General features: G+C 59.8%; 1 protein-coding gene across 8 annotated transcripts in view, besides 6 other annotated features; it reads right to left on the bottom strand.

The window, feature by feature from the left end:
• RAI1 (retinoic acid induced 1) overlaps positions 1-19,651 on the bottom strand; it is a 129,996-nt gene that overhangs the window by 3,595 nt on the left and 106,750 nt on the right. For all 8 annotated transcript variants that reach the window (XM_047435151.1, XM_047435152.1, NM_030665.4 and 5 more), the window contains 2 exons: positions 9,346-14,926; positions 4,010-4,103 (listed from right to left, as the gene is read on the bottom strand). In XM_047435151.1, the coding sequence (XP_047291107.1) occupies positions 4,010-4,103; positions 9,346-14,910 (5,659 nt within the window). In that variant the 5' untranslated portion in view covers positions 14,911-14,926. The remainder of the gene's footprint in view (positions 1-4,009; positions 4,104-9,345; positions 14,927-19,651) is intronic.
• Positions 890-1,184: an enhancer, noted in NCBI's record as "tiled region #10333; HepG2 Activating DNase matched - State 5:Enh". NCBI's record gives its function as "activates a minimal TATA promoter and a strong SV40 promoter by Sharpr-MPRA in HepG2 cells {active_cell/tissue: HepG2}" and the evidence as "EXISTENCE:reporter gene assay evidence [ECO:0000049][PMID:27701403]".
• Positions 5,583-6,370: an enhancer, noted in NCBI's record as "H3K4me1 hESC enhancer chr17:17704803-17705590 (GRCh37/hg19 assembly coordinates)". NCBI's record gives its function as "activates a minimal SCP1, AML or CMV promoter by ChIP-STARR-seq in naive H9 embryonic stem cells {active_cell/tissue: H9 hESC(naive)}" and the evidence as "EXISTENCE:reporter gene assay evidence [ECO:0000049][PMID:30033119]".
• Positions 6,371-7,160: an enhancer, noted in NCBI's record as "H3K27ac-H3K4me1 hESC enhancer chr17:17704013-17704802 (GRCh37/hg19 assembly coordinates)". NCBI's record gives its function as "activates a minimal SCP1, AML or CMV promoter by ChIP-STARR-seq in naive H9 embryonic stem cells {active_cell/tissue: H9 hESC(naive)}" and the evidence as "EXISTENCE:reporter gene assay evidence [ECO:0000049][PMID:30033119]".
• Positions 13,400-14,124: an enhancer, noted in NCBI's record as "H3K27ac-H3K4me1 hESC enhancer chr17:17697049-17697773 (GRCh37/hg19 assembly coordinates)". NCBI's record gives its function as "activates a minimal SCP1, AML or CMV promoter by ChIP-STARR-seq in primed H9 embryonic stem cells {active_cell/tissue: H9 hESC(primed)}" and the evidence as "EXISTENCE:reporter gene assay evidence [ECO:0000049][PMID:30033119]".
• Positions 14,125-14,851: an enhancer, noted in NCBI's record as "H3K27ac-H3K4me1 hESC enhancer chr17:17696322-17697048 (GRCh37/hg19 assembly coordinates)". NCBI's record gives its function as "activates a minimal SCP1, AML or CMV promoter by ChIP-STARR-seq in primed H9 embryonic stem cells {active_cell/tissue: H9 hESC(primed)}" and the evidence as "EXISTENCE:reporter gene assay evidence [ECO:0000049][PMID:30033119]".
• Positions 17,726-17,932: a silencer, noted in NCBI's record as "fragment chr17:17693241-17693447 (GRCh37/hg19 assembly coordinates)". NCBI's record gives its function as "represses an EF-1alpha promoter that drives an FKBP-Casp9 reporter gene in an ReSE screen in HepG2 liver carcinoma cells {active_cell/tissue: HepG2}" and the evidence as "EXISTENCE:reporter gene assay evidence [ECO:0000049][PMID:32094911]".

The following is a 19,651-nucleotide window of genomic DNA, read 5'->3' as shown; positions in this document are numbered from 1 at the left end:
CCACGGCTGTTCCCCTTCCCTTGGCTCAGGCAAGCCAGATGTGGTTCTGGGGCTGAACTAGATATTCCAAAGACACTAGGCTAAAATCCCAGGCCTGCCCCTGGCACGCCTGGGTAGCTGCGGGCACTCCCACCAAGGGAAGTTGAGGGTAGGAGGTCGCCACTTCCAAACTGGCTCCCTCAGCACTGCCCCAGCACCACCCCACATGGGGCACGGGGCGGGAGTCACTGGGCAAGGCCAGTCCTCAGTGATCTGGCTCCTGACCTGGTGCCTGCACCTGGGGAACCTGGGCACTCACTGACAGGTTGGCCCCAGGGCCTGAGTGGGGAAAGGTTGAGACAGGACACTGTGGTGTAGCAGCCTCTGCCTGCTCTTCAGTCACTGCTTGTCTCCAAAGTGGGTTCCTTAACAAGAATTGGAAGGGGGCAGGATGAGTAGGCCAGGACAGCGCAGTGCAGGGCAGAGGCTGGCAGCCAGTGGGCAGCCCTGGTGCCCTGCAGTCCCAGTGCCTGACACAGAGGCCTGGGGCTCCTCCCTGGCCAGACATCAGATCAGCCTGACCAGCCCACTCCCTCAGTGCCCTCTCACTCCCACCCCCCCGCCCCCCCCACCGCCTGGCTGGCAGAGTCACGCTGGGGGCCCTCCCTGCACCCCAAGCGCCCGTCCTCCCCGCCTTCACTCTCGAGCTCACTTGTTCTCCCTCGCCTTCTCTGGCAGCTGTTCCTCAGTTTCCCAGGGGTCCACCCTCCTCCTCAGCCAGCTGTTCCATGGTGAACACAACCCTGCTATTTTGTCCCTTCCAGGGCTCTGATGAGCCCTCGCCTGCTGATGGTGGGCGAGACTCGATCCTGAGCCCAGCTATCTACACTTTGTATGTCCACAGCTGCCTCTACTGCCGTGTGGCCAAAGGGAACTGCCGTGTGTGTAGATGGCCTGGCAGAGCAGCCCAGTCCCCTCCCCGCACCCAGGTCCTTTGTGGTGTGGCTCTGCAGCTCACCCCAGGTGGCCTGCACTTCTCTGTGCTGGACTTGGGACCTGCTTTGGCTAACAGAACGTGGTAAAGTCCAGGACCTAGGCTGTGAGTGGCCCTGTGACCTCCACTCTCTCAAAGCCCTGGGGCTGCCATGAGGACGCACCCAGGCCAGCCTGCTGGAGGATGAGAGATTGATGGAGCAAAGACAAGCTGGCACAGCTGGGGCCACCCTAGATCATCCTGCTCCCAGCAGAGCCTGCAGCCAACTCACGCCCTTTTGAGAACTAATGAAGGGCTGGTGCTGGAGACATGAAGCTGGGCCTGGAAGGGCCAGTAGCTCTGCAGCAGCAGCTAATACTCCATTTGCACGTCCACACCCTACTTCTCCCCTTCATGGGGAAGCTGGGCATCAGGCTTGTCACCTCCCTCTCCCTCATCATCAAGTCCCATGGATTCTGTGCCAACTCAGTCTCTGAGGTGTATGTCTCCATTTGCAGCATTCCCAGTCCCTTTCCTGCCTCAATCTTCACGGTGCTACAGGGATCCCTGTTATATGAGGAATCCTTCTAGGATTTTATCTGAAATAAAAGTTCTCTTGCTCAAAGCCTAGTATACAAGTCCCACCACTAAACAGTTGCTACAAAGCTCCCCCGATCTTTTGAGGCCTGGCTTAAATGTCACCTCCTCCTGGAAGTCTTCCTAGATTTCTCCCTTGTTCAGACAGGATGAACCTCTTCCACAGTGCATACTCTCTCCTTCCCGTCTGGTCTCCCTAACTGTGGCCAAGAACCACAGTTTTGCTGTCCGTCCCACTCAAGGGTGAGCCCCTTGGGGGGCTGGGCAGTGCTGGGGTAGGAGAAAGAACATAGGACATGGAGCAAGAAAGCCAAGGCATTAAGTCCTGGGACTGTCCACGCCATGCTGTGTGCTGTGGGTGAGGCAGCCAATCTGTGAAGATGGCTGGAAACAACATGGTTCTGTAGCAGGGCTGGGAGTGGAGCGGGCGCTAAGTTAATCACTGTGGAAGGAGGAATGTGACTCGTGGCAGCTATTATGGGGAGTGCGGCCACATGCCTGGGCAAGTGGCAGGGTCCATGTTAAACTCTGGCTCACACTGCTCAGAGTGGGAGCGTGAAGCCAGTGAGAATCCTCCACGTCCCTGCTCCAGCAAGCCCCTTCCCCGCTGGGTCCCGGCAGCTCAGCCCCTGCCAAGCAACTGTCAGCACTCAGAGTCCTCTGTGTCCTCCCTGGGGCAGCTTGGCTGGGCTGACACTGGCTGGGGACCCACCAGGCAGGTGGGGTACAGGCTGTGGTCCCCTGTCCAGGCAAAGCCAGCAGGGCATCAGGTGAGGACGGGAGGCAGTAGCTGGGGCTGCTAGGAGAGCGACGGGAGCCTGGGGGGGCCTGGACTCTGTCCACTGGGAGGTGGGTTATGACTTCGCCTCTTTCCAGGCCAGAGTTGGGAGGGATTGAGGGTGACGGGGAGAGGTCACAGAGGCTGGACCCAAAATAGGACTGAGGCAGCACCGTGTGGGGAGAGGTCACAGAGGCTGGACCCAAAATAGGACTGAGGCAGCACCGTGTGGGTAGTGTTCATTATTTCACTCTCCTCCCAGCAGCTCTGCAGAGAAGGGGCTATTATCATCTCCATCATACAGGTAGGGAAACTGTGTGCAGAGGTATCAACCAACTTGCTCAAGACCACACATTAAAAACGCTACTAGGGGCCGGGCACAGTGGCTCACGCCTGTAATCCCAGCACTTTAGGCAGCTGAGGCGGGCGGATCACGAGGTCAAGAGATGGAGACCATCCTGTCCAAAGCAGTGAAACCCCATCTCTACAAAAAATACAAAAATTAGCTGAGCGTGGTGGTGCACGCCTGTAGTCCCAGCTACTTGAGAGGCTGAGGCAGGAGAATCGCTTGAACTCGGGAGGCGGAGGTTGCAGTGAGCCAAGATCGCACCACTGCACTCCAGCCTGGTGACAGAGTGAGACTCCGTCTCAAAAATAAATAAATAAATAAATAAATAAATAAATAAATAAAAATAAAAACACTACTAGGAGCCAGCATGGCTGCGCACATCTGTGGTCTCAGCTGCTCAGGAGGCTGAGGTGGGAGGATGATTGAGCCCAGGAGGTTAAGGCTGCAGTGAGCCACGACTGCACCCCTGCACTCTAGCTTGGGTGACAGAGCAAAACTCTGTCTCAAACAAGAACGAAAACCACCCCACCCCCCACCACTAGGGTTTGAATCCAGGCCAAAGTTGGCCCCATATCTCCCAAAATATTGTTGTCCCCAATGACTAATATTGTACCATAAGCAATTGCTTTCTCTGGATGAAATAAGGAATGTCTCTGAGCCTCAGTTTCCCCACCTGGTCGATAAAGGTAAGGGCTCTTGGGTGGCTCCAGCCCATGCACGGTCATTCTGTGTGCCCAGTGATGGTAGGGGCTCAACAAATGCTTGCGGAACAAATGAATACATGAGTGAGAGGAAGGACCGGGGAGAGGATGCGGGGAGCCTGGGCCTACCTCCATACCCCATTACCCTGCTTCAAAACTTCCACAATTGCTCCATGGGTCTCAGTCTGTTTTGAACCTCATCACCCCCAACTCAGTTGGTTTTTGCTGTTGTAGTAGTGCCTTTCCCCTTGTCTCTGCTGAGTGAACTCCTATTTATCCTTCAAAGGCCCAACCTCCAATACCCCTTTCTCTCTGAGGCCTGAGATCCTCCCTGCCCCTTGGCAATGATGGCTCCGCAGACAGCATTCCACATTGTAATTTATGCTTCTATCTTCCCTCACTGCTCTGGGCACTCCTCAAGCAGGTGCCTGGGGAATGCCTCATTTCCATGTCCCTGGCATTGCCCAGCAGAGGTCTAGGCAGACAGAAGGATAAAAGAATTGCTGGGGCAAGAGAGGAGGGAAACTGAAGAGTGAGATGGGGCCTGGGTTTGGGGAGCTGTGCCCAGGGAGGGTCCCCCTGGACTGCTTGGATGGGCTCCAATGCCCTCCTGTTCCTGGGCGGGCTCGTACCTGCATCGCTGGCACACGGGTAGTGGTAGGTGTGGAGGCATCCTTTGTGGCAGCACCCAATGGTGGCCCCGGCTTCTTGGCAGCTGGAACACATCTGATGAAGAGAAAGGAAAGGCAGGTGAGTCTCCAGTTGGAGCCCAGCCCTCAAGCTTTACAGGCTGGTAGGCCAGGTGCAGTGGCTCATGCCTGTAATCCCAGCACTCTGGGAGGCCAAGGTGGGAGGATCGCCTGAGTCCAGGAGTTTGATACCAGCCTGGGCAACATGGTGAAACTGTCTCTACAAAAAATAGTGAGGGTTGGTGGTGTGTGCCTGTAGTCCCAGCTACTCAGGAAGGTGAGGTGGGAGGATTGCTGCAGCCTGGGAGGTTGAGGCTGCAGTGAGCCGAGATGACGCCACTGCCTGTACTCCAGCCTGGGCAAGAGTGAGACCCTGCCTCAAAAAACAAACAAACAAACAAACAAAAAAAACACAAAAAACCTGTACAGGCTGGCTGGCCCCCTGTGGTCCCTGCCTCCCTTCTCCAAAATGGTGCTTGAAAATCTACCAGAAGGAGGTTCAGCACTGGGGTACACATGCCCACAAACATGGGTCATTTAGCACCCTCTGGGCTGGTACATTGGGTAGGGAGACCCCCTTGGGCCAGTGATGCCAGTTACTACCATGGCTGTGGCTACCAGCCAGCATCTGCTGCATGCTTCTGGTGTGCTGGGCGTGGTGTGTGTCCTTGCCCACTGGCTTGCTTTTTTTTTTTTTTTTTTTTTTTGAGACAGAATTTCACTCTGTCCCCCCGGGGCTGGAGTGCAATGGTGTGATCTCCGCTCACGGCAACCGCTGCCTCCTGTGTTCAAGTGATTCTCCTGCCTTAGCCTCCCGAGTAGCTGGGATTACAGGCATGTGCTGCCATGCCCAGCTAATTTTTGTATTTTTAGTAGAGACGGAGTTTCACTGTGTCGGCCAGGCTGGTCTCGAACTCCCGACCTCAGGTGATCTGCCTGCCTAGGCCTCCCAAAGTGCTGGGATTACAGGTGTAAGACATAGCGCCTGGCCTACTGGCTCTTTTTTCTTTTGCTTTTGAGATGGAGTCTTGCTCTGTTGCCCAGGCTAGAGAGCAGTGGCACAATCTTGGCTCACTGCAAGCTCCGCCTCCCGGGTTCACGCCATTCTCCTGCCTCAGCCTCCCCAGTAGCTGGGACTACAGGTGCCCGCCACCACGCCAGGCTAATTTTTTGTATTTTTAGTAGAGACGGGGTTTCTCCGTGTTAGCCAGGATGGTCTCGATCTCCTGACCTCGTGATCCGCCCACCTCAGCCTCCCAAAGTGCTGGGATTACAGGCGTGAGCCACCGCGCCTGGCCGCCTACTGGCTCTAACAGCCCTCTGTGGGTCCCTTTCATTAATCTCACTTTACAGATGGTGAAACTGAGGCTCCCATTCCAGGCAACAGTGAAGGCATTCAGCATGGTTTTCTACCCTTTCTGGCAGCAGGAGCACTTTGAAGCTAGGCTGGGACTGTTCTACCTAGGATGAGACCTGCACCCTCCAGGGGACCAGCTCTCAGACCTGTGAGAGGAGGCGGTGACGTGGTAATCCCTTGAGATGGCTGACTTCATGTAAATCTGATGCCGTCCTCCTCTAAGTCTCAAAACTGTCCTCTGCTGAGCTTGGGGGCTGCCCCACACCTGGACCAGCTGCTTGGAGTGGACGTGGCCAGGACAGGACAGTCACACCAAGAAGGCCCTTGGAAGAGTGAAGCAAACCTGAGGCCGGGGAGGGAGAAGTCACCAGGCGCCAGAGCCACAGTGCCACCGTGCTGGGGGCGGGGGGTGAGGTAGAGAAGGCAGCAGAGAGGGCGGCGGCCTCTGCCCAAGTGCGAAGCCAGTGAAACAAACGACAATAGCTTCCTATGTGCCAGGCATGGCTGGAAGCCTCATGCCCACAGCAACCTTATGATGGGATTACTGTTATTTTACCTGGGTTACCAATGAGAGCTGAGGCTGAGTAACCTGCCCGAGGGCTCCAGGCTGGTCTCTGACCCCTGCAGCTGCCTCCAGGCTGGAGTAGGGGCCCACAGGACCCCACATGCTCAGGGTGGGCGCACCATCCCAACCACAGCAGCTGAGAAATGTCAGAACACTCCCCTCCCCGCTGCCCATGCTGGGAGTGGGGCCTGGGGTTTATTCTAGAATTTCAGGTTTTCAGCTCAGGGCTGAGGCCTCCTTCCCGCCTAGTCTGGGATGGCCTCCTGGAGATCTGGAGTCCAGCGTCCCCAGTTCCTGACCCAAAAGGGATGACGAAACACAAGCCGGCTGCTGTCTGTGAGTGGCCCTTGGTGTCTGGATGTTTAAGCATATGGGGGTCCTCTGGCTGAAGGCTTCTCTCCACTTACTGCACGGAGGCCCCAACCACCCTCAGGCAGGCATATGAATAGCATTTTAGATGTGAAGAAACTAAGATGCAGAGAGAGTGAGGCCTCAGGCCCTTCTGACCCCAGCTACCCAAGAGGAGGGCAGGGGTGGCGGCATGTAAACCCTGCCACAGGTGGGGCCTCTGCAGACACCACCTAGCCCCCTAACAATGCCCGGAGCCCGCTATGGGTCCCTCTCACCCCAAGCATTCCATGGCCAGGCTCCATCTGGATAGGAGGTAGGGGTCTATGATGGCTTTGGGGGAAGGGCAGGCAGGGCTCAGAGATAGCAGGCGAGGGCAGTTCCCAGAAAAGGCCATCGAGGAAAAAAGGTATCCCTGAGAGCTGGCTCAGAGGTTCTGCCCTCCAGAGCGCAAAAGTGAGGTCAAGGTACCGAGGGGTGTGGCAGTGCTGGGGCCAGGGACACAGCTGCACCCCAAGCCCCTTCCACATGCCAGGCAGGTCCCACATGATCCACAGAACCCCACAATCCTGCTAACGGGGTTTGACATTGTGGAGTTCTCAGAGCATGCGTGACTCGCCTGGAGCTATGGAACCAGCCCTCGGCAGAGCTGGGATTTGAACCAGGGTCTCACTCCAAGGAGCATGGCGCCCCCAAGCCACTGAGGCAGGAAGGGGTGGTGAGCCAAAAGTGACCCTGGGAAGCCCCAGACTCTGCCCATTCTCCCAGGATGTCCCATCTGTCTGGCAGGGTGTTCCTGGTTCCGACCTTCCCGGGGCAGCCCTAGTTGCGCAGGCTGTCAGGCCATTTCTGGAGCATGGCACAGCAGACAGGCATGGGCTGGGCTGGCAAGTTCCAGCCCCCGCGTGGTGTAGGGAAGCTAGCGCCTCTCCAACACACACTGTCTCCTCAGTCCAGCAGGACCTTGTGTGTGCATGGGCGGTTAAGACACCCATGGGCCAGGGACAGGATGGGGTGGTCGGTGCTCGGGGCTGACCCCTCCTCCCTTCGGCCGGCCAGTGCTGGCTGCAGGGGATGTGGAGACGACCTGATCTCAGCCTGGTGGGACGTGAGTGTCGGGGAGCCCCTGGTGAGGCTGCGGGACCGAGGATGCCGTGGGGACAAGGCTTTCAGGAATGGGGCTGTGAAGCAGGGGAGGTGGCAGCCAGCTGGGGCTGGTGATCTGAGGGTTATTATTTTTTGATGACGGGAGAGACTTGAACCTGTTTCAAGGCGCTGGGAAGGAGCCAGTAATGAGAGAGAGAGAGAGAGAGAGAGAGAGAGAGAGAGAGAGAGAGAGAGACAGAGAGAGACAGAAAGCAGGAGAGAGGCAAAAAATCACTAACTGGGAAGGGGAGAGGGAAGAGGCCCAAGGCCACCATCTGCTGGGTAAGCAAGGCCCGCGGCACCAGGAACCTGCAGGAGTCCTGTCGGGGCCAGCCTTCCTCTGAGGTGGAGGGTGGAGTGAGGTGGGCAGGGCGTCTGGGCGTGGAGAAGGTCTCCAGCCATCCCCATGGGCAGTGGGAAGCAGGTGCCCAAGACACACACTAGGAGGCGTGGGTGGCAAACACAGTGGGCCCCCACCGGGACCTTGGTTTGGCCAGGCAATGCCACGGCAACTGTCAGGAGCAGGGGCTGCTCAGAGGGGCTGCAGGGGTGTACTGCGAGGAGCAGGTGGGCAGTGCAGCGACGGGGGAGGAGGCTGGGCAGGGGGAGGGGCGAAGCCACCGGCTGGGGCCACTGTGCTGGGTCACTGAATCACTCAGATGCAGGCAGTGTTTGTCCAGGGCCTCTGGAGACCCCTGCCAAGCCCCTCTGGCTCCCCTGTGACCTCAGCCGCACATAGTGGGTTGAAGGAAGGAGTGGAGGGGATGGGACTCAGGGCAGGGGCCAGAGAAGGCTGCAGGCGTCCCCACTGAGAGCCACCACACAGCGCTGAGAGCCGGGAGCGTCACTCCACGGAAGTCTGGATGAGGCAGTGGAGTCGGGGTTGAATGTGGGGGCAGAAGCATGGCCCCGGGGGAGAGGTGCACCCCACCGCCCCCACTGACCCCTCCCTCAGAAGGGCACAGAGGTACTCTATGGTACTGGGGAAGTGGTGACACCACGAAGAACGTCACCCTGCTGTCACCAGAGCCACCAGGCCCCTCTGCACTGACTATCACAGGGCTGCTGTGCTCGGTGGGCTCAGAGGTGCCCACCTTTTAACCCTCCCGACCCCTCCTCCATGGGCACCCTCATACCCACGTTAGGGGCGAGGGGACGGAGGCACAGAGAGGGCAGGTCACAGCCCCAAAGGTGCATGGCGGCACAGCCCCAGAGTTCCCTCTCTCATGTTGGTGCTCAGTGACTATGGCTTCCAAAGCTGGTCTCAGAGCCAATGGTGAGAGGGTCTGGATCTGCCCCGCCCTGCCTGTTGTGACTGTGTGACCCCATGGACTGTCCTGCAGAGGGAGGAACCCTGTGACTGGGTCCATGCACCAAGCCTGTGTCGCCAGAGAGGGTCTTCCTGAGCCCTTAGCTTCATCCCAGAGGCAATGGAGACAGGAACAGAGGGTGGGCAACTTGCTCTTGCACCGCCCGGGGCAGCCCTGATGTTCAATCTTGGGAGTCCTCGTGTTCTCTGGGCCTTGGCATCTCCGGTGACAGCATGGGGAGGGGCCCAGTGGATTCTGGGTGGGGCTGGAGCCTGAAGATGCCAGGTGAGTGGGAGAGTGGCGGTGGCTGGGCATACGGGCCCCGGCGGGAAGTCTCCTGGGACAGGGTAGGTGAGTGTGACCTGCCTTAGCCAGATGGGTGCCTCCACTTCCCCCACACACCCCAGAGAGGCTCAGGACTCTGCAGATTGTCCCGAGACTGCAGACACATTTGGCCCACACTGTAGCACTAGAAACAAGGGGCTCCCCGACTGCCTGCCTGCCTGTCCTTTGGAACCCCACACTCCCCACCCTGGCTGGGCTGGCCTCTTACCATGTCCACGGCCACCTTCATGGCCTCCTGCAGCCCAAAGAGCTTCCCGGCCACCAGGTAGACGCCGCCGGTCCACACGGCACAGGCCTCATGCACCCAGTGCTCCTGGGCCTCCCCGCCGGGCTCTGCCGGAGCCTCCTTGCTGCACTCATGTTTGCGACCCTTGTCGGCTGGGGCTGCCTCCTCGCCCCCATCCTCCCGGCCATCACAGCAGTAGCAGCTCTGCAGCCTCCGGGACAGGCCCCGGGCACTGGTGCGCAGTGGGCCCTGCTTGGCCGGGTCAGCTGGGCCGTCAGGCCTGGGGGGCTTCCCGGCAGTGGCGGCAGCTGCACACTCGGGACCTTTGAGTGTTCTCTCAAGCGGCAGCGAGGCCTCCTCACAGGTGCCTTCTGGCCGCACCTTCTCCTTGAGTTTTGGCTTCTTTTTGGGGAGGCAGTGTTCAGGGTAGTAGGGCCCACAGAGGTCCCCAAGGTCCTTGAAGTTGGCCGGGTTTTGGCAGAGGCAGCAAACAAGGCAAGAGGTACTCAGGGCCTTGGAAACCACAGGCCCCAAGTGCATCGTGGAGGAGAGGGGCAAGGAGGGCCGCGGCTGCAGGATGGAGCCTCCAGGGAGTGTGGCCAGGGAGGCCCCGGCTGCATCCAAGGAGAACGAGGACGAGGATGAGGAAGAGGAGGCAGAGGAGGAAGGCTTCCTGTGGGGCTTGGGCGCATCTCCAGGGGAGTTGACAACAGTGCATATGGTGGTGAACGCGTCTCGCTTCTCCACCCGCACGAAGGGTGAGAAGGCGGGGGTCCGGCTGTCTGACCTCAGCCGCTTGCAAGAGGAAATGTACTTGAGGCGGATTTCAGGCTCTGCGGGATCCAGGGGCAGCACCTGCTGCTGTCGTCGTCGCTTGGCACGCCCCTTACAGGGTGAAGAGGTGGTGTTCTTGGCCCGGCCCCGAGTGAGGCGCTTCCGCTTGGAATAGCTGCTGTAGTTGGTGTGGCCTGGCTGTTTCTGTGCCCTTGTCTGGGGCTGGCAGGGCCTGCCCTCCGGGGGCTGGGAGGCCAGGCCCAGCTCCTCCATCTTTGGCTTCTTGCCTCCTCCACCAGAGTTGTCCTCACTGGCCCCTTGTGTGCCACTGGCCCTGTCTCGGGGAGTCAGGAGCAGAGCCGGGCCAAGATAGGGCCGCTTCTCCAGCGGGCCTTTGGAGAGTCCATGGGCCCCTGCCCGGCCTTTCCGGCTCCTCTTCTTAGGCGCCAGGGCAGTCCCCCCAGGCTGCAGGGCCTCCGGGGATGTGAAGGCCTCGGTTTTGAAACAGTCAGTAGAAGACAGTTTCTTACTGTTCATGAGTTTGCCTTTTAAGGATCTGTTGGTTGGATTTCTGCATAACGGATCAGCCCCAGAAGTTGGGAGCTTCTGCCCGGTGCCCACATTTACCAGGCCTTCTTCCACCCCCACTGGGCTGCCCCCAGCACCCTTGAGCCCACGGTCTTTGTCGGAAAGGGATGGGCTCAGAGGATTACCAGGAGAGGCCCCTGGCGCTTTACATGCGAACTTCTTGAGGCTGGGCGAGGTGATCTTCTGCACGATGGCTTCCAGCTTCAGGCCCCGGCCCTTCCGGGGTGGCAGCACCTTGGTCTTCATGGCCCCCTGGAAGGCTGCCCGAGAGGCGAGCTTGAGGCAGGCATCGGGGGTCTCCGGGGGTGGGAGCTTTGTGGCAGGCTCGCCATTGCCCTTGGTGGGCTTGGCTTTCTTGGGAGAAGACATCCTCTTGAAGAGGGTGGGGGAACCCTCAGGCCTCTCCTCCTTCCCATCTCCCCCATTGCCACTGGCGTTGCTGCTGCTGCTGCTGCGGCTCCGCAAGACCAGGTTCCGCTTCTTGGTGGGGACCGGCGCCATGAAGGCCGACTTCCTTTTGAGCGCATGGAGGGGCCGGTCAGAGAGCTTGCTGCCTGCACCAGGTTTGGGGACCCTTGCCCGCTGGCTCACCCTGCCCTCCTTCTGGGGGCTGCTGGAGACCTTGAATGTGGCGGGCAAGTGGCTGTTGTCGAGGAGCTTCTTGGTGGCACGGCAGTTGGGGAGCCGGCCCTCAGAGGGCCTCCGCCGCTTGGAGTGGAAGATCTCCTGGGTTTTGGTGCGTGACCGAAGGATCATGGAGCGCTGGTCCTTGCCAGGCGTGCTGGGTGAGTCTGTCTCCTTGGTCTTGGAGCCCATCGGGCTGCTGTCGGAGGCCACAGGCAGGGCGGCCGGGTTGCTGGGGCTGGAGGCAGCCTTGGGTGAGGGCTTCCCCACCCGCTTGCCCGACTTGAAGGCGGCTCGCTGCTTGCCCCCCAGTTTGTCTGGGGGTGCAGGGGTGGTGGTCAGGCCTGGGGGTCCGGGCGTGCGGGGCTCACTCAGGGCCGTGAGAGAACGAGTACACATCCTGGGGAGCCCTTCCGAGGCCCCCCGGCCTGGGGCTCCAGCCCCTTCCATCTGTCCCTGGGGGGGCCCTGTGCAGGATTCAGGGAGCAAGAGGTCTTTGGGCAGCACTGGTGCCCTGCATGGGGAGTCCTCGGCCTCGGGCAGCCCCCGGTGCACCCGACGGCTCCGTAAGCTTTTGCCCCGTGGCACAGGCTCTTTCTTTGCGATGGGCGCCTCGGGCACAGCAGGCTTGTTGGGCTTCTGGGCCAGAGAGGCGTCCGAGGTGGTGGAATCCCCTGGAGCTCGCTCCCCATCAGGCCCCTCTTCACCTGGCTTCATGTGTGACAGAGAGGACTCAAACCAGCTCTGGACCTTTGACTCGGTGCCCACTGTAGGGCCCAGCAGGATGACGGACTCCCCTGAGAGGTGGCACGGAGAGCCCCAGCCGGCCTTGGAGTCCAGCACCTCCTCCACCTCCTCCTTGGTGCAGATGAGTGGGGCCTTGGGTGACAGCGGGTCCTGCATGCCAGGCCTCTGCTCGGGGCTGCCCAGGAGCTCACATAGGGAGGAGTACTCCTCCTCAGCTTCCAGGTCCTCCTTCCTGCTGGTGGGTGGCAGCAGTGGGAGGTCCCCGAAGTCGGCGGTGGAACAGCAGTGCCGGCTGTCCTCCAGCCACCGGTCAGCCTTGGCCACCTCGGGGCACTGCAGCAGCCCACCTGCCTCCTCCTTCACCCCACCCACCTCCTCCTGCTTGAAGTCCCCGGGCAACGAGGCCACCTTCTCCCCAGGGGGGTCCTCCTCCTGGAAGCCCAGGCAGGCCGAAGCCTCATGGGTGTCCCCTTTGCTGATGCCATCTGAGGCCTTCCCACCCTGCTCCAGGCCCTTGGTAAGCTCGCCAGGGTGCAATCCCCACCTGGGACAAGCATCCCCCAGGTTTTCCTCTGGCCAGGCAAAGGGGTTGGCGCTGTCCGCTGAGCTGGCAGCGGTTGTGTCCGGGAAACAGTCAAAAGCTGCTGTAGTGGGGTCTGGAGCAGGAACCCCAAGGGTGGGCTTGGTACCAAAGGAGAGAGGACCAGTTGTCTTTTTGGGGTCAGGCGTAGCGAAGGCCACGGAAGGGTCTTCAAACAGCCCTGGGCTGAAGTCCTTGGCATTGCCGCCCTTGTCCAGCTGCAAGGAGTCGGGCAGGGCCTCCGGCTCCCCAGGCCGGGGCCACGCACTCTTGGCCACAGAGTCCAGGCAGGCGCTGTGGTTCTCCAGCGAGAAGGGTGGCTTGCTGCTGTCCTTGACCAGGCTGGGTGCTTCAGCCCAAGCTTTGTCGGCCTTCTCACCGATGGCTTCCTGCAGCCCCAGGATCTCGGAGGCCAGGTCCTCCTGTGCCAGGGCGCTGAGCAGCAGCCGCGGACAGTCCCGCTCACCCGCCACGAACTTGGAGAAGCTGTCGAGCGGCAGACTGCCGTGTAGGCTCTGGAAGGAGTCGTCAGATTTGGTGGACATGTCGTCAGGAGAGGTCACAGAACAGGTGGACACGGACTCGGGCTTGGCCTTCGAGTTGCTGTTGACCCTGGCAGGGCTGCCACGGGCCTGGTTGCAGTAGAGGAAGCTGCGCTCCAGTGGGTCCTCGGAGCCGCTCAGGTAGTCGGCCTCCTGCGGCTCCGCATGCGTGGACTGTGGCGTGCTGCTCGGCGGCTCTGACAGCGGTGTGCCTGCGGGCTCGGCTGAGTAGCCGCTCCCTTCGGGGCTGCAGTGCTGGCTTTTATGCTGCTCTGGGGTCCTGGACACGAGGTTCTTGACACCTTTCTTCTGCGGCACAGCAGCCTTGGAGAGCAGCAGCTGCTGGACGGTGTTGGAGATGTTCTCCACCTGTGAGGTCAGCGCCGTGAGGCTCTGCAGGCTGAGATCCGACAGCAGGTTCTCAGGGAGCTTGTCCTTCTGAAGGGGCTTGCAGTTGCCAGCCTGGGTGTCCACAGAGCTGGTGGCATCCGTTGGGGAGGGATTGAGCAGGGGCATGAAGTGGCTGTGGTCAGTGATCCCTGCGGGGAAGGCCCCGGTGCTGAGCGGCTGCTGGCTGTAGGGAAAGTTCTCCAGGTTTGGCATCAGCGGCGACGGTGTGGAACTGTAGGAAGGTGAGCGGCCCACGGAGCGGGCGGGTGAGTGGCTGGAGCTGGGGCTGAAGGTCTGGTAGTACTGCTCTGGGGTCCGGACGGCTGCGTCCGGCTGGCAGTAGCCCTGGCCTTGCTGCCCGTAGTGCTGATACTTGGCGAGGTTTTGGTAATGGAGGGTTTCCTGGGCATGGTGCCGGCTCTGAAGGGCTTGCTGCTGCTGCTGCTGCTGCTGCTGCTGCTGCTGCTGCTGGTCATAGCTGAGGCGGCCCGACTGGTAGGCATGAAGATTCTGGACCCGCTGCCCCGGGGCCAGGCTGGAGCTGGCAGTCAGCGGCCTGTCATGGGGCTGGGCAGTCGGTGCTGTGCAACTCTTATAGGAGTGGGCCCCCTGCCCACCACCCTGGACAGAGGAGGAGTAGGTGGAGGAGGTGGGGAAGGACTGGGAATGCTGAGGAAAGTGGGTACCCTGGGGGAAGGGCAGAGGGGAGGCAATGTCGTTCTGCAGCTTCTGCCTTTGGAGCTTGGGGTATGCCAGGGGCTGCTGGGGCGGCGGTGGCTGCTGGACGTGCAGGGAGTGAGTCCGAAAGGGCACCTGGGCGCCCTGCTCTGCATACTGCCTGCTGGGGGGCACTGCTGTCTTTTTCATCAAGTTCTCATCATACTTGGCCACCCCTGCAGGTAGTGGCTGCGGCTGTGGGGGTGGTGGCTGTGGGGCCCCCCAAGCCTGAAGGCTCTCCTCACCAGCATAGCGGCCTGGGTAGGGGCTGCTGTCCTGGACGCCGTAGCCAGGGAAAGCCGGCCTCCCCTGCAGGCCTTGCTGTGTGGGCAGGGCCTTGCTGCCTCGGTGGTACTTGTCGGCGGCCACCGCGGCTGCAGTGCCAGAGGGCGTGCCAGCGCCACCCTCATAGCTCGGGTAAGGCTGCGGGTTATAATAGTCCTTGGCGAGCAGCCGCTGCCGGTCGCAGCTTAGCCCGGCCTGACTCGGCTGCCTGTAATTCTCTAGGCGTGATGTTTCCTGCGAGGTCTGCTGGTAGTTCTGTTGTTTGCCATGGAAACCACACCTTTCTCGAAAAGACTGCATGACTCGGGCTGGTTATCTGTGAAAAGAAAAAGGAAGGGAGGGAGGGAGGGAAGGAGGGAGGGGAGGATGGGCAGGGAGGGGGCAGAGGATGAGCGATTCAGACGGGCCACTTCCTTTTGCCTCAGAAAGCACCCTCCCACCCACCTCCCCACCCTGCCTGCTCCCCCGCGCAGCTCTTAATAGTCCCCCCTTCGCCTGAGCCTCCCCACCAGCTGTGCGCATATTGACAACTTCTGTGTCAGGGAGGTGTGCTCTGTAATTCCCGCTCCCACATCGCCTGCAGCTGAGTCTTGCCAAGGACGGCCACTGATGCGGGAGGCAAAACCGGCTGCCCAGCGCCAGGTCACTGGGGAGCTACCCGCCCCCCCCCCGCCCATTGCCAGCTCCTCCCCAATGTCCCCCACCCATCACTCCCAGCCCTTCCTGACAGCTCAAAAGCATTTAGCAGAGCAATTCCCGCTCCCTCATCCCCTGGGGCCTGCTGGATCCTGTAATTTAGTCCCTTCGCGACCGTGTTCAAGCATGACCCAGCCATGCTGGGGACTGAGGAGGGTCTGCCCCTGTCCCCACGCACATGCGTGCACACAAGCATATGTATGCTCACACACACACGCGCGCACACACACACACACGCATGCACACACACACCTCCTCTATCACTGCCACGCCATCTGGAATCTGTCTGTTCCTTCTAGCAGACATCGATTAGGGGCTGCCAAGCCACTGTAGACATAAAATGTCCCCTCCTCTGACTCCCAGGAACGCAAGACGGCAGCACCTGCCTCCTGTTTTTGATATCATACGTGCATAAACAGATTACGTGGCCCAGAGTGAGGGAGTGCATACTAATGGGAGTAGAGATGCAGTCCCAGGGCCACGGCCACGGAAGGGCACAGCCCAGCCCCACCCACATGGGGCGACACAGCCCTGTCCCCTCCTGGCCAGTTCCTCCCCACCTCAGCAGGTGAGGGCTGGGGCAGGCAACACTCAAGAGCCCATCTGGTTATGATTTTAGGGGATGGGGCTCAGGCAGGGGTCTAACCTGCCCCTGCCTGCAGAGCAGAATCCTGGGTCAGGAAAGGACCCAGGGTGGGTTGCGGGAGCCTCTCAGAGCAGAGCATCTGACAGCCCAGCATCCAGGGTAAAGGTTCCTCCAGCTGACTCGCTGGCCTGGCCAACCAGAAGACCCCTCAAAGAGGGATGGAAGAAAGAGGAATGCCCCAGGTTTTGGAGGAAGTGCATGGAGGGGCTGGCCATTGGCCGAGTCCCAGAGGGTTTGGGATTTACCCAGAACCATGCTGGCCCGGAGGCAGGAAGAAAGGGGCTCAGCTCGGCCTGTGTGGCCCAGGCCCCCAGGAGGGGATAGGGGACTTTCCAGTGCTGGTTCCCAAATGCTCCAAAAGGAAGGGGTGGCTTGCCTCAGGCTACAAAGATTCCAGGTTGTTGAAGGGGTCAGGAAGGGACAAAGAGAGGGGGAGAGGGGCACAGAGAGGGAGAGGCACGCAGAGTCGGGGAGGGGCACAGGGAAGAGGCAGAAAGGTGGGGAGTGGGGGAGAGCTGGGGGTGCTGCTCCATTTACCCTTCTTCCTTGGCCCGGACCCCACCACAAGTGCCTTCCTCATTTAGTGTCTGGGGATGGATGCAGGGAAGGCGACAGAGGGCCTCCATCTGCCTGAGAGCAGGGCAAGCCCAGGGCAGCCAGATGGCCCCCAGAAGCCCGTCAGCCCAGTCCTGGGACCACCTCTCCTGCTCTCTGGAGTCAGCTTGCCCTGGCCCACAAATGCAGGAGAGTCAGCCCAGTGTGGGGGCCGGCCACTTTCCCACGAGGCGAGCCCCTGCCCACCGGCTTATCAAAGCCGCTTTCCCTCTGCTCCAGCTCCTCTCCCTGGATTTGTCGCAGGCATCCCTAACAAGCAGCGTGCCCACCCTTCTGACCCACTTCAATCCTACCCCTGGCAGCTTGGATAAAACATTACAGGAGGTTCCTGCTGCGACGCGCCAACCCAGAGGAGCTGGGGACGGCACTTGGTTCTGGTCTGGCAGCTCCCTGCCAGGTGGGCAGCCTCACGCTCCTGCCCTGGCCAGACTGCCACAGGGCAGCCCAGGCGGGCCTGTGCCCAGGCCGAGGGCACAGCGCCCGCTCCCTGCCCTCCCCAGGCGCATGTTTATGAGCCCAGAATGTGCAAACCCAGGACCACTCTGAAGGCTGCGCCTCGTATATCTGCACAAATTACATTTCGGCTTTTATTAGTCCCAGATCACTCTCATTTCCTGCTGAGTGTCCTGTGGATATCATTAACATTTCTACGGCTTTATTTTTTATTTTTTTTCACATTCTCCAAAATGCATTACCAGAAACATTATTTAAAGAGAGACAGAGACAGTGAGGGGGTGCTATTACCAGTACCCCCTCCCTGCCTGTCCGTCTGCATTCCTCCCTCCCTGTTTAATTGGTCCAGCTGCTGTGTCTTTTAATTTAGCCGAGCTGTATTACAGGCAGGTTTCCCAATACACACGAGCAGCTGGATGCGGTGAAAGCATCTATTGCTAAGAAAAGACAGTTCAATTAAAACACGAGAAGCCCAGTGCTGATGGAGAATGCAGGCAAAAATGCTCGCCCCAACACCACCCTGGAACCCAAGGCAAAGGGAGGGATGGGAACAAAGGCACAGGCCGCCTCTCAGTGCCAGCCAGGTCCCACTGCCAGCTCTGCTGGGAGAAAAGGGGGCACTGCCTCTTTAAGGGCTGCCTCAGGCCTGCTATGGGCTCTGTTGTTATTAATTATTATGATTATGATTACTTTTCAAGAGCACTAGGACAGGACACAGAAGGCGAGGCAGGCAGCAGGGCTGGGCTGGGTTGGGTTGGGCTGGGCAGGCCTCAGGAGAGGAGGGGGCAGAAAGAGCACCCCCCTCCCTGGCCCCGGCAGAACGATGGTGACCTTTGAACCTGGGGGCAGGGAAGAAGTGGCCTAGCAGGCAGATTGTGGGTTTGGCCTGTGGCTTGGGCTGGAGGGAGAAGGGGTGGTGAGAGGGGACAAGGGAGGGCACCCCCCACCCACTGGGCTCACTCCTCATGGTCCAGCTCAACCACACTGCCCGGACGGTCCCCACTCATTCCCATCCATCCGTTTCTCCCCAACCTGCCTCTCCTCTCAGACACTTGGTCCAGGCCTTATCTCCAAAGTTCTTGCTGAAACTAGAAGGCAGGAGGAGCGGAGTCTAGTGCATCCTCTAAGCACCAGATACATGAACACTTCACCCTTAGAATCAGATCCTGGAACTTAGTCTTCTCAGCGCTGGACAGAGGAGGCAGGCCAGGCACAGCAGGGAGCATGAGCTGGAATCACATAGCACCCAGGGCATCAGGATTCCCCTTGACACAGCAATGGGTGTCCTCACTCCAAGCCATGAACATAGTGGGGGCACAACGAAACCCCAGCTACCCTACGGTGCAAGGCCAGCGGCTCTCACAGGCCTTCGGCAGTGTGGCACACACCTGGGGCACAGCCCTTCTTTTAGGCAAAGACCTCAGCCCTTTCCCTCCAGAAATCTATAGGACTGCTGAGGCGGGAGCAAGGCGGCTGCAGAACACCTACTCTGTGCGGCTTTCTTGAACAACGGTTTGATTAATCTCTCCTCCCCCTTTACAGAAAAAAGTGAGGTTCAGGACAAGTGCCCTGCTTAGGACCCCAGAGCAGAGCCCACCCGCAGGGAAGCTCCTATGCAGGACGCCCTCAGCAGCAGCGGCAGTGACTGGACCACGGGTGGACACCCCTGTCCTGAGCCCCCGTGAGGGGCTCCCACTTTGGAGGAACAGTCTCTTGGAGCAGGATGCAAGCCAAAGCTGCTGTGGGGCAAGGGGCTGAGCTGCAGCCTGTGACAGCCTGAGCCTCAGGCCAGGGTCCTCACTTTTTTATTCTGTCCTCATCTTTAAGCAGCCAGACCCACCTCGGGTGGGTCCACTAATGGGCAGTGATGGTCACCAGCCACCCACTGTCACCAAGGCAACTACTGTCCCCTGGGCAGCCTCAGGGAGAGGTCACTAGGCCTAAAGCCTCCTCAGACCCCAGGCTTGAGGCCCCAGTCAGCGAAATGGGCACAGTGTAGGCCAGAGCTGCTGTGGCTCCTGAGGGAGCCCAGCTGGGAGGTGGTGGCTGGAATTTTTTCCTAAGAGAAAGGGAGAGAGGGAGGCTGAGGGGAGGCAGGGAGAGAGGGAGAAAGAAACGGACTGGGGGCTTCCTGATCCCCAGCAGCAGCTCTGAGGCCACTGGTTCCATCCCACCTACTTACCCAAGGTGGTTTTATGACCTGTTTTCATGATTTGTAGCTGCAAGAAAAAAATTTAAAAACCCAACCCACTCAAGGCCTGGGAACCTGAGAATGAAGGAGCAGTGTACCAGGGCTCCAGAAGCTGAGGACAGGGCAGAGGAGGAGTCCAGGCAGGGGTGGAGAAGGTGGAACTCCTCAGGCCTCCCCATCTGTTGTGGGTGATGAATAATCAATACAGGAGACTTGGTGAAAATGAGAAATCGTTCGCCAGATTCACTGCTATCGTATGGGCTCAATTCCATATCCTAGGGGCCTGGCTTGAATGGGAGGAAGGGGGCGAGTTTCCAAGGAGCCCACAAGACAAGAGGTTGGGTGCCCATAGGCTTCTGGGACAGGTTAGGGTCCACGGGCTGAGAGGCCTGCTTCGGGCAGATGGAGGACCCTCCTAGGACATCAGGAACCCCAGAGGA

The sequence above is a fragment of the Homo sapiens genome, chromosome 17 (assembly GCF_000001405.40).
Source record: "Homo sapiens chromosome 17, GRCh38.p14 Primary Assembly".
In the NCBI taxonomy this organism is placed as follows: Eukaryota; Metazoa; Chordata; class Mammalia; order Primates; family Hominidae; genus Homo; species Homo sapiens.
This window is presented reverse-complemented; position numbering and strand designations above follow the sequence as displayed.